Source organism: Homo sapiens, chromosome 7 (assembly GCF_000001405.40).
Source record: "Homo sapiens chromosome 7, GRCh38.p14 Primary Assembly".
In the NCBI taxonomy this organism is placed as follows: domain Eukaryota; kingdom Metazoa; phylum Chordata; class Mammalia; order Primates; family Hominidae; genus Homo; species Homo sapiens.
This window is the reverse complement of record NC_000007.14, coordinates 64,137,574-64,151,249: the sequence shown is the minus strand read 5'-3', so window position 1 is coordinate 64,151,249 and position 13,676 is coordinate 64,137,574. Positions and strand designations below refer to the sequence as shown.

At 42.7% G+C, this 13,676-nt stretch overlaps 1 long non-coding RNA gene and 2 pseudogenes across 1 annotated transcript; 2 read left to right on the top strand and 1 right to left on the bottom strand.

Moving 5' to 3' along the window:
* Positions 1-278: 278 nt before the first annotated feature.
* On the bottom strand, positions 279-12,374 carry LOC124901655 (uncharacterized). The gene is made up of 2 exons (XR_007060344.1): positions 12,326-12,374; positions 279-1,053 (listed from the first exon to the last, which is right to left on the bottom strand). It is a non-coding gene; the product is annotated as an uncharacterized LOC124901655 (long non-coding RNA).
* VN1R37P (vomeronasal 1 receptor 37 pseudogene) lies at positions 721-1,631 on the top strand (annotated as a pseudogene).
* Positions 8,830-9,746, top strand: RPL6P20 (ribosomal protein L6 pseudogene 20; annotated as a pseudogene).
* Positions 12,375-13,676: the final 1,302 nt, after the last annotated feature.

Below are 13,676 nucleotides of genomic sequence, written 5' to 3'. Positions count from 1 at the left end.
CCATTTCTATATTATACACAGTAAATTAGGGTTTGATTAAGCAGAACAATGTCCCCCAGTCCCTCTAAGGATATTGACATCTGAATTCCAAGATATCACATTACACATTATAATTCATGACAAAGAGAATATAAGGGTGCAGATAGGATGAAAATTGCTTTATGCTGATGAAATATCATGAATTTATCATGGTGAGTCCAGTAAAATCACAAGGGTCAAAAATCATGGAAGGAAAAGTGATGATGAATAAATTGTATCAAAATGATAGATCCTGAGACTCAACTGACTATACTTTTTATTGAGTCTTTTCACATTAACATACATTTAATTCAACTGTACAAATACTATTCATTTTATATGCCTGACTGAAGTGCTAAATATAAAATGAGAACATAGAATAAGGATATGATTACTGAGATGAAGGCCAAGGTACATAAGGAATATAGATAGTATGCACCTTAGGCAAAATTGAAAATGTATTTACTATATAGAGATTCATAATAATTATATATGTATATATTTATTTGGTTTAGGAAATAGTATAGGAGATACATTATCAAGAATTTATATAAGATGGGGTTAATCAAGAAATGAGAGTAAAATAAAAATAATAATGGTAATAATTTTGAACACTGACAAAAGGACATTGATGACACAGATCTACTTTTTTCAGGTCTTCAAAATGTTTCTTCTATGTCATTAGGATGAACACACATTTCACATGTTATCTTTCAAAAGGCCTTTTGTTTTCAAGCTGGCATTGGAATCTCAGCCAACATCTTTCTTCTTCTCTGGCACATTTTTACATTCTTTAAGGATCACAAGCCTAAAAAACCATGACCTGATCATCTGTCACTTGGTTTCTGTCTACATAGTGATGCTAGTCATGGCAGCAGAGTTATTGTCTCTAGACGTGTTTGAGTCACAGAATTTTCAGAATAACTTCAGATGTAAGGCTGTGTTCTACATATACAAGGTAATGAGGGGCCTCTTGATCTGCACCACCTCTCTCCTGAGCATGCTTCAGATCATCACCATCAGCCCCAGCACCTCCTGGTTGGTGAGATTTAAACATAAAATAACATATCCTGGGTTTACTCTTTTTTTGGTCCCTCAATTTGTCTTTCAACAGTGACATGATAATCTACATTGTAGGTTTTTCCAGTGTGACCCAGATAATTCTGAATGTCAGTAAATACTGCTCACTTTCCCCAATGAATGTCACCATCAGAAGGCTGTTTGTTACTCTGTCGTTATCCAGAGATGTCTTCCTTGTAGGAATCATGCCGCTCTCAAGTGCCTTCATGGTGATTCTCTTGTCCAGGCATCAGAGGTGCTCCCAGCACCTTCACAGCACTAGCTTTTTATTAAGAACCTCCCCAGAGAAAAGGGCCACCAAGACCATCTTGCTGCTGGTGAGTTTCTTCGTGGTTATGTACTCATTGGACTTAATTGTCTCATCCTCCAAAATGCTGTTATGGGTATTCAGCCCTGTCATCGACAGTGTCCACAAGTTTGTGGTCAATGCCTATGCCACTGTCAGTCCTATGGTGCTAATCAGATCTGAGAAAAGAATCATCAGTATTCTGCCAAAGGTTCATTGGAAGTGCCATCCATTTTTAACAAGTTAGTGATAAAATTTTCTAAAAATTATTTTGTCATCATCAATTAAATTATTCAAAAACACAGAATTTGCTATCTGATTTAAGTAAAACATGTGGAATTGCACTTTTGTAATATCTAATTTTTTTTTAGATGGAGTCTCACTGTTTCGCCCAGGCTGGAGTGCAGTAGTGCGATCTCAGCTCCTTGCAGCCTTCGCCTCCCAGGTTCAAGCAATTCTTCTGCTTCAACTTCTCAAGTAGCTGGGGCATGTGCCACCATGCTCAGCTAATTTTTGTGTGTGTGTGTTTTTAGTAAAGACAGGGTTTCGCCATGTTTTCCAGGCTGGTCTTAAACTCCTGACCTCAAGTGATCAGCCCACTTCAGCCTCCCAAAGTGCTGGATTCATAGGTGTGAGCCACTGTGCCCAGCCTACCTCAATATTTTTAAAATTTGCTGGTGCTATGAACTATATGGTGTCCTCAGTTGAGTGTCCCCCATGATTGAATATTCCCAAAGCACATCTCTCACTTCTTAATTTTAATTTTACCTTTATACAGGAAAACATTTATTTTTCCTTTCTCCTCTTTTTTCTTTTTTTTTTTGAGATGGAGTTTCCCTCTTGTTGCCCAGGCAGAGTGCAAAGGTGTGACTTCTGCTCACTGCAACCTCCACCTCCCGAGTTCAAGCAGTTCACCTGCCTCAGCCTCTCGAGTAGCTGGAATTACAGGCACCTGCCACCACACCCGGGTAATTTTTGTATTTTTAGTAGAGACAGGGTTTCACCATGTCGGCCAGGCTGCTCTCGAACTTCAAACCTCAGGTGATCTGCCTGCCTCAGCCTCCCAAAGTGTTGGGATTACAGGTGAGCCACTGCACCCGGTTACCCCCCGCCGCCTCCTTTTTTTTAAATTCAAATACCATTTAAATGCTCCTTAAGAGTTCAGGAGATTCTTCCTATGACAAATCTTGTTTTCCACTAGGGGTTAGCCAGTATCAAATCATCCTTCATGGAATGCTCCCTCATGATCAAAGATAACTTTCAGGGACCTTGCCTAACTCCAAGCAGAAGGCCGTCAGATAACTAGTTAATTCATGATGCGACAAGGCACCAATCCAAGTTTAGGCTTTTAGTTATTTCACTATTGCCCCTGTGGTCTTCAGTCTCTACTCAGTTTCTCTAATGTTACCCCTTAAAGAAAAAAGTAATGTCTATTTCTGTCTCAGCTTTCTAAGAACATAAGCTGCAAGAATACTGAGTATTTATTTACCATCAGCACTTAGCTGGTGGCAATGTGCACAGAAGTGTTTACACATTCCTAAGAGAAAAATTAGAGAGCTTTCTGGAGCCAAAGTTTGGAGAGCTGTAAATCTTCCCCTGCTGTCTCTTTCCCCACAGGCAACAACAAGCAAGTCTTTCCTATCTTAAGAAAACAAAACCTGGGTGGTGGCTCACGCCTGTGATCCCAGCACTTTTGGAGGTTGAAGCGGGTGGATCACGAGATCAGATCAAGACCATCCTGGCTAACATGGCAAAATCCCAGCTCTACTAAAAATGAAAGAAAAGAAAAGAGAAGAGAAGAGAAAAGAAAGAAAGCAGGCAGGAAGGAGAGAGAGGGAGAGAGAGAGAAGAAAGGAAGGAAGGGAAAGAAAAAAAAGGAAAGAAAGAAAGAGAAAGAAGGGAGGGAAGGAAGGAAGGAAGAAGAAAAGAAGAAAGGAAACCAAACCAAACCTTCCAGGAGTAGTTAGCTCCTACCCTAACACACTGCACCATTTTACAACCAAAGTCCTCCAAATAATTGTCTGCAATCACTGTCTGTCTAAAATGCACTCTTCAATCTACTACAATTTAGGTTTTTGTTTCCACCACTACATTGAAACTATTCAAGATTCACCAACCCGACGTAGTCCCCACTGGCAAATTCAATGGAATTCCAGAATCATATATATCATATCACACATGTGTGTGTGTATATATATACATATGTGTATGTATATATATACATGTGTATATATATACATATATATGTGTGTGTGTGTGTGTGTGTGTATATATATTGGAGACAGGGTTTGTTGCCCAGGCTACAGTTCAGCGGCAGGATCACAACTGACTGCACCATCGAATTCCTGGGTTCGAGCCTCCTCCTGCCTCAGCCTCCAAAGTAGCTGGGAATGCAGGCATGCACCATCATGCCTGGCTAATTTTTAAATTTTTTGTAGAGACAAGGTCTCATTATGTTGCCCATGCTGGTCTCAAACTCCTGGGCTCCAGGGATCCTCCTGGCTCAGACTCCCAAAGTGTTGGGAGGCCCCACACCTGACTAGAATATCTTGTGATACTATTACTCACTTCTTTAGGAAACTCGCTTCAATTCTTCACTCTTTATTTCACTTACCTTTGCTGGTTCCCATGCCCACCTATAAATGATGGTGTTCCCTTTTGTGCTCTGTCCAATCTCTCCACTTGTCCACATGCTTGGCATCAACCTACACTTATTTGCTGATAACTCCCCTATCAAGACAAGATCTTTCTCCTGAATTCCAAACTCAGTCAACCACCAACTGGATATCTTCACCAGACAAAAGTCAACCACGTCTTGGCCAGGCACGGTGGCTCATGCCTGTAATCCCAGCACTTTGGGAGGCCAAGGCGAACAAATCACCTGAGGTCAGGAGTTTGAGACCAGTCTGGCCAACATGGTGAAACCCCATCACAAAAATGAGCTGGACATGGTGGCAGGTGCCTATAATCCCAGCTACTCAGGAGGGTGAGGCAGGAGAATATCTTGAACATGGGAGGCGGAAGTTGCAGTGAGCCAAGGCAGCACCACGGCCCTCCAGCCTAGGCAACAGAGCGACACTCGGTGTCAAAAAAAAACAACAAAACTCAACCATGTCTAAAAGTTATGAGTAACCTCTTCCCCATAGCTGCTTTAATCCCAATACCCACTTAATAATAACCCAAGACTCCTCTCAAAATATCCCTGTGTTCAAGACCCAAATTCAGCCACGAAGTTCAGCAGAGTCGATCTACTTAGCACCTCTTCCATCCAGCCCATGTCCTCTACTCATACTCCTTCTGCCTCAGTGCCTTCATGCAACAAATACTTATAGAGTACCTAAAACATGCTCTAGGAATGGTTAAGAAAATAAAAAAGATACCAGATTTATGGAGATTACACTCTAATGGTTGCTCTGACAAACATTTTCAGAACCTAATCTTGTATCAACTCACACCCTTACAGAATTAGTATCAGAATTGAGGGTGGCTTCCTGAGTTCAAGACCAGCCTGGTCAACATGGTGAAACCTCATCTCTACTAAAAATACAAAAATTAGCCAGGCATGGTGGCACATGCATGTAATCCCAGCTACTTGGGAGGCTGAGGCAGGAGAATCACTTGAACCTGGGAGGTAGAGGTTGCAGTGAGCCGAGATCGCACCACTGCACTCTGGCCTGGGTGACAGAGCAAGATTCTGTCTCAAAAAAAAAAGAATTGAGGGTGGATTTAAGTATGTAGCACTTCAAATCTTTCATATTGTTCTAAGTAAGCACTGTCCAACAGAATCAGATGGATTTAATATTAATAATATACTTTTGGCCAGGCACGGTGGCTCATGCCTGTAATCCCAGCACTTTGGGAGGCCGAGGCGGGGGGATCACGAGGTCAGGAGATCGAGACCATCCTGGCCAACATGGTGAAACCCAGTCTCTACTAAAATACAAAAAATTAGCTGGGCATGGTGGCGGGCACCTGTAGTCCCAGCTACATGGGAGGCTGAGGCAGAAGAATCACATGAAGAATCTCAAAAAAAAAAAGAAAAAAATAATAATAATATAATTTGATTTAAGGCAATATCAAAAATATTTACAAACTAAATACTTGATTTTTAAAAATATATCTATGAAATACAAAGCATAAGTTACAATTAATACATCTCAATTTAGATGCTATTTTTTTTTTTTTTTTTTGGCGGGAGTGATGGAGTTTTGCTCTTGTTGCCCAGGCTGGAGTGCAATGGCACAATCTCGGCTCACCACAACCTCCGCCTCCCAGGTTCAAGCGATTCTCCTGCCTCAACTTCCTGAGTAGCTGGGATTACAGGCATGCACCACCACGCCCAGCTAATTTTGTTTTTTGTTGTTTTTTTTTTTTTAGTAGAGACGGGGTTTCTCCATGTTGGTCAGGCTGGTCTCAAACTCCCAACCTCAGGTGATCCACCCACCTCAGCCTCCCAAAGTGCTGGGATTACAGGCATGAGCCACCATGCCTGGCCAGATGCTAAATTTTTATTTATTTAATTTTTGGGGTTTTTTTGAGACAAGGTCTTTCTCTGTCACCCAGGCTGGAGTGCAGTGGTGCTCTCTCAGCTCATTGCAAACTCTGTCACCCAGGTTCAAGCGATTCTCCTGCTTAAGCCTCCCAGGGAAAAATATTTTGTATTGCCTCAGTTTTCAAATGTAAATTAATTGAAATGAAATCACAAAGTCAGTTTCTTAGTTGCCCTACCCAAATTTCAAATATTAGTGCAATTTTAAGGGGCTCCTTCTAATATGAAACTCTCATTCCTTCAGGCTGCATTCTGCACCTGGCTAAACATCAACATTACCTAGGGGGGTTTTAGAAAACCACAGCCTCTACATGATTTCCTTAGGTCTGGAGCCTTGCCAAATGCTATTTCAAGCAGCCTTGCTTCAAGTCCTAGAATGCTCTTGTCATTCCACCCTTCCCACATCCAATAGCGCCAAATCACCCATTCATCTCTCAAGAACTGAACAAAGGTGACAATAAACTACGCATTTCTTAACCTGTAGGGAGATCCCCTGAAACTATTGCTATGGAATAAAAGATGAAATGCTCCTGATTATTGTAAATACAAAATTGCATGCAGGATTGTGTAAAGACAATGCCAGGTTGGACTGCCAGAACAAGCCAACAGCACGTGATGTGCTTCCCCCTGCAGAGAGCCTGTGAATGGACATGCAGTCAGGGAGGTTTCACATCATCAAGATTCCTATCCCAGAAAAGATGTTCATAGCTCTGGGAATGGAAGGCGACCCTCGTGGAGAGCCTATAAATGGACGCATGGGGGGGCGCCTGTCCATATGGGTACGATAGGGCCATAAACACCCTCATCTTGCCACGGCTCTTCTAGGCCTCTTTAGGGTTAAGGCATACTCCCTTCTGAGAATTTCTGGTCTAACCAGATGTCTAGCTTCACCTCCTGTTTCCATGGATTGTTTGTAACCAGCTTTTGTTGCAATTGTTACTGCTGATTAATATCTTGTTAATCATAGGTTATGGAAAGATTGTGTTTGTTTTAAGGCTCTGTTAGAAATTACTGACGCACACACTATATTGTAAATTCTTATCTCTCTATGCAGTACCTCTACATACAAATGTACTGTACTTCTACATACAAATGTTATGTTAAAGAATTACTTCATCCCCATGTGACCATCTCACCTCATTATCAAATGACCCTAAATCCCTCACTAACCTACCCCCGCCCTCACTAAACTTAATAATAAATGCTGGCATATCCAGTGCATTGTTGGCACTGCAGGACCAGAAGGCGGTGACTCCCCTGGACCCAGCTTTCACTATCTTGTGTGTGTCTATTATTTCTCAACCTGCCGATCTGCCTGGGAACAGAGAGCCCCGTTGCATTGCGGGCTGCTGGCCAGATCCCGCAATAATTTTGTTCCTTTTGCTCTTCAATCAAATGACCTCTCTGCTCTAGACAGCTACAAAATGCCATGGTATCTCTTTCAAATGCAAATGTCACCTTGTCATTCTCTGCTTAAGTACTTAAAAGGCTCCCCATGGTTGCAGAATAAAGCCAGAACTATTTGACATAATATGGGCTAGTTTATCTTCCCAGCCTCACTTTAACCATTCCCTATCCATCCACCTATCTATCCTCCATCCATCCACACACCCATCCAACCAGTCATCCATCCATCCATCCATGCATCCATGCATCCATCCATCCCTCCACCCATCCATCTATCCATCCCTCCCTCCATCCGTCCCTGCATCCATCCATCCATCCATCCATCCATTCACCCATCCATCCATCCATCCATCCAACCATCCAGGCAGCCATCCCTCACCCATCCACCCATCTATTCATCCATCCATCCACCCACCCACCCACCCACCCATCCATCCATCCGTTTATTCATCCATCCATCAATCCATCCATCTAACCACGTAATCATCCAGGCAGCTATTTCATGAATCTGTCAATCAGTTATGTCTACATGCCTTCTCCTGAATTCTCAACAATTTCCCATAATATATATTTTGCTATATCTCACAATTGTAGATGGGAAAACTGAGTCTGAGAAGTCTCATGTGTAGGGAACAGCACTGACTTCCTATACTGTATTAATTCCGTCTTTCTTCCTTCTTAATAAAATCCTGATCTTGTTAAAATGTCTGCCCCTCATCCACACAGCCCTCATTCCCAGTTCTAGGTATACATGGACAGCAACAAATCTAAACCAAGCATAGACAAACATTTTCTGTAAAGGAACAGAGAGTAAATATTTTAGATTTGTGAGCCATATGGTCTCTATTTGCTATGGTTTTAATGTGTATCCTAAAAAGTATGTGTTGGAAAGTTAATCCCCAATGCAACAGTGATGGGAGGTGTTTAAGTTTCGAAGGCTCCACTCTCATGAATGGATTAATGCTGATTATGAAAGGGCTTGAGGCTCTGAATTGGACCTCTTGCTCTCTCTCACACTTTTTGCCCCTTTGCCATGGGAAGATGCAGCAAGAAGAGCCTCCTTGCCAGATGCCAGCCCCTTGATCTTGGACTTCCCAGCCTCTGGAACTCTGAGCCAATAAATTTCCAGGTGCAGTAACTCATGCCTATAATCCCAGTGACTCAGGAATTTGAGGCAGGAATAATTTGAGGCCAGGATTTTCCTGACCAGTCTGGGCAACAGAGGAAGCCCCACCTCTAAATAAAATTTAAAAATTAGCTTGGTGTGGTGATGCATGCCTGTAGTTCCAGCTACTAGGAAGGCCAAGGTGGGAGGTTCCCTTGCACCTAGGAGTTCGAGGCTGCAATGAGCTGTGATCATGCCACTGCACTTCAGCCTGGGTGACAAAGCAAGACTCCATCTCTAAATAAAAGAAAAAATATATGCATTCATTACAAATTACCCAGTATCAGTTACTGTATTATAACAGCACAAAAAGGGAATAAGACGCTCTTTCCCATCTTGCAAGATGGCAGGTGAAAAAGTTGAGAAGCCAGATACTAAAGAGAAGAAACCCGAAGCCAAGAAGGCTGATGCTGGTGGCAAGGTGCAAGAGGGTAATCTTAAAGTTAAAAAGCCCAAGAAGGGGAAGCCCTATTGCAGCCACAACCCTGTCCTTGTCAGAGGAACTGGCAGGTATTCCCGATCTGCCATGTATTCTAGAAAGGCCATGTATAAGAGGAAGTACTCAGCCGCTAAATCAAAGATTGAAAAGAAAAAGGAGAAGGTTCTTGCAACTGTTACAAAACCAGTTGGTGGTGACAAGAATGGTGGTACCCAGGTGGTTAAACTTCACAAAATGCCTAGATACTATCCTACCGAAGATGTACCTCGAAAGCTGTTGAGCCACAGCAAAAAACCCTTCAGTCAGCATGTGAGAAAACTGCAAGCCAGCATTACCCCTGGGACCATTCTGATCATCCTCACTGGATGCCACAGGGGCAAGAGGGTGGTTTTCCTGAAGCAGCTGGCTAGTGGCTTGTTACTTGTGACTGGACCTCTGGTCCTCAATTGAGTTCCTCTACGAGGAACACACCAGAAATTTGTCATTGCCACCTCAACCAAAATCGATATCAGCAATGTAAAAATCCCAAAACATCTTACTGATGCTTACTTCAAGAAGCAGCAGCTGCGGAAGCCCAGACACCAGGAAGGCAACATCTTCGACACAGAAAAAGAGAAATATGAGATTACAGAGCAGCGCAAGATTGATCAGAAAGCTGTGGACTCACAAATTTTACCAAAAGTCAAAGCTATTTCTCAGCTCCAGGGCTACCTGCGATCTGTGTTTGCCCTGACGAATGGAATTTATCCTCACAAATTGGTGTTCTAAATGTCTTAAGAACCTAATTAAATAGCTAAGTACAAAAAAAAAAAAGGGACTAAGACACTGTTGCAACTATTCAACTCTGCCATTGTATCAAGAAAGCAGCCACAGAGGATATACAAGCCAATGGGTGTGATTGTGTTCCAATAAAATGTATATATGAGCCCTGAAAATTAATTTGATATAATTTCACGTCATAAAATATTATTCTCCTTTCAATTTTTTTCCAACCATTTAAAATGTAAAAACCATTTTTTGCTCATTGGCCATAAAAAAACAGATGGCGAGTTGGATGTTGTACCACAGGCTATACTTTTCCAATTTCTGGTCTAAGCTACTTAGTTGCATGGTGTCCTCCTGGCAAGGTCAGGGGAGACATATGACCTAAGGGGACCCAGTCACACTCAAGGGAGAATCTACAGTGTCCACTGTAGGTTAGAGAATAATCCCCCTTCTATTCCCAAGTCAGTAGGCCACTGGCTTTCATTGTCATCTTGACTATATTCTACTCTCAAGATGACTATGGAAGCCACTACTCTCAAGACAACTACGAAAGGGATTACTCTCAAGTTGACTATGGAATCCATTGACCTATTGATTAAGGAAGTCATTGACCCAGGCACTACTGTAATTTCCTTGTAACTGAAAGTGATCTCAGAGTCTCCTGGCTGGTGGCCTCCGGAGATGGAACCTCATGGGCCTCCCCTGAGACATGGTCAGGACAAATGAGGGCCCCATATCTTAAGTAGCGTATTAATCAAGGTCTCCCAAGAAACAGAACCAATAGGAGGTTCTATTTCATTGTTTCCTTCCTATTTCATTCATACACACACACGTTGGGGGTGGAGGAGAGAAAGAAAGAGTTTAAGAAATTGGCTCATGCAATTACAGAGGCCAGTTCAAAATCTGCAGAATAACTTGGTAGGATGGAGACCCAGGGAAGAGTTGATGTTGTAGTGTGAGTCCAAAAGCAGTGTACAGGCAGAATTCCCTTTTTCCTCAGGGCAAGTCAGTCTTTACCTGAAGTTAAGGCCAAAGTAGGAGGATCACTAAAGACCAAGAGCTCCAGACCAGCTTGGGAACATAGTGAGGCTTCATCTCTACAAAAATTAAAAAATTAGTCAGGCATGGTGGCATGCACCTGTAGTCCCAGCTACTCAGGAGGCAAAGGTGGGAGGATTGCTTGAACCCAGGACTTTAAGGCTGCAGTGAGCTATGATTGCACCACTGCTCTCCAGCTTGGGTAATAGAGTGAGACCCTGCTTCAATATCCTTCAACTGATTGGAAAAGGCCCACTCACATTATTGAGATTAATCTGTTTTGTTCAACATCTACTAATTAAAATGTCAATCTCATGTTTAAAAAACAAACAAAAGCCTTCACAGCAACACCCAGATAGAGTTGACTGGAGTCAACTCTATCTGGTACTTGAGTACCCTGGCCTAGCCAATTATATATCAGAGGTGATATATAATACTGATAGAATTATTATAAATAATAATTAACAGAGCTAATAGAATTAAGCATCCACAGGATATCTGAGATCAGGATTGATGGGAAGAATGGAAGCAGGTGCTTCCCAGCCACTAATACCACAAAACCTGAGGAACCCCATAAAAGTCCTGCCTGACTTCAGTCCACAACTGGGTTTCTTTTCTTTTCTTTTCTTTTTTTTGAGACACAGTCTGGCTCTGTTGCCAAGGCTGGAGTGCAGTGGTGCAATCTTGGCTGACTGCAACCATCCGCCTCCTGGGTTCAAGCGATTATCGTGCCTCAGCCTCCCAAGTAGCTGGGACTACAGGCATGAGCCACTCGCCCAGCTAATTTTTGTATTTTTAGTAGAGACAGAGTTTTGCCATGTTGGCAGGGCTGGTCTCGAACACCTGGCCTCAAGTGATTTGCCTGTACTGGCCTCCCAAAGTCCTGGGATTACAGGTATGAGCCACCTCACCCTGCCCACAACTGAGATTCTTAATTTCCCTCCCTAAGCTGAACTTGGTGCAGAATAAGGTTAGCACTCAGATTTTGCGATACATCTCTGGAGAGTTTATTTTAAGAAGATCAAGTGGGGTACTCCTGGGTTTCAGGATTGGTTAGTCACCCTCTCTGCAAGAACAAAGGGTGATCTGACACCCTATCTCCCTCCTGATGCACGGAGTCTGACCCCCAGAAGAAAGGGCTTGAGATTCATGGTAGAAATGATACAAATATTAACAGAGGAGGAAATTAATATAATTCTGATGTGCTGTATAATGTTCAATATTGATTTTTGACTCAACGAGACTAATTAAATGCTCTATTCCAATCAGTTGCCAAACGTACCTGCTCAATAATGTGTCTAAATTCATTAATTATTTTAACAATATTTCATTTTTAAGTTTTATTTTATCCACATGTTAACTTCATTTTACTTATGCAAATAAGAGCTTGATGGTGATACTACCAATAACTCATTATCATCCTTTGCTAAGCTAGGAAGGAATTTGTTACTTTGCAGAATATCAGTGCTTTTAACAGGAGAGTATGTAAAAGCTACACTGTCTTGAAATAATTTGCACTCACAAATTAAGTGACAAGCATAACTCTAATAGATTAACTGTATCCAGTAAAACATTTACCTTCAGAAGGGCTCCTCTGTCCTCTTCCAGGCTGAGTCTGAGGCTATCTAGGCTTAGCAAACCCTAGTGACAAAAGGAAATAGTTTTTGGAATGTTTTCTTCGGTCCATCACTGACATTTCCTGTTCATCTGGTGGAAAAGTTAAAATATTTAGTGGCGGCCAAGAGCAGTGGCTCACACTTGTAATCCCAGCACTTTGGGAGGCCAAGGTGGGTGGATCACGAGGTCAGGAGCTCGAGACCATTCTGGCTAACACAGTGAAACCCCGTCTCTACTAAAAACACAAAATAATTAGCCGGGCGTGGTGGCATGCACCTGTAGTGCCAGCTACTCGGGAGGCTGAGGCAGGAGAATCGCTTGAACCCAGGAGTTGGAGGTTGCAGTGAGCCGTGATCGCACCACTGCACTCCAGCCTGGCTGACAGAGCGAGACCCCGTCACAAAAAAAAAAAGTATTCAGTGGCACCTGAAGGGTGTTCAGGATACATTAAATATTCAACGTCTCTAAGGGAGGCCCAGCTACATTTAACATGGCAGGTTCTCTCCCAAGATCCATCCTTAAATCAATCCGAGCACCTCTGCTGAGAAGAGTTTTCTGGTGCTTTTTTTTTTTTTTTTGAGACAGGGTCTGTCTCTGTCACCCAAGTTGGAGTGCAGTGGTGCAATCATGGCTCACTGCAACCTCTGCCTCCTGGGTTCAAGCAATCCTCCCACCTCAGCCTCCCAAGTAGCTGGGACTACAGGGATAGTCCCAGGTCTTCTGGTGCTTTGGGGTTATTTATTGAAAAGATAGTCATTCACCACATGCAATGGGATTTGCAAAAATATTCTTAGGTAGAGAGGGATGGGTTGGAGGAGACATTATTTGGGTCATGTACTCTATATGGCCAGATGGACCGACTAAAATAATAATCTCATCTCCCTGAGATCTTCAAAAAGTCTCAGGAAGATGAAGTTCACTCCACTGAAAAGAGTGTGTCTAGGCAGCAGATCTGCCTGTGAGTCACGGGTGGGTCTACGATAAGGTTGCAGAGTCTCTCATTCAAGACTGGGGTTGGTGGGGGGGTCCAGAAATTTTTGGGGTAGCTTCAGGCTGAAGTGGAAAGGTTAACAGCAGAGTTCCTACACAGCAGAAAGCTACTGTGAAAACTTCCCAGAGTCTGCTGTGGGGTTGCCACTGCCTTTCTAGTAGAAACACCGCATTACCCACTTTCCCTCTTGAAGCTTGGCCTAAAGGGCCCTTGTCACTCAGATGCCCTCATTATCAGCTCCCTCTGGGTAGCACTCTATCGGGCGAAATTCACCCCCGATATTTCATGTAGGTTCTTTTCTATTTTCCCTAAGTGTCGGCC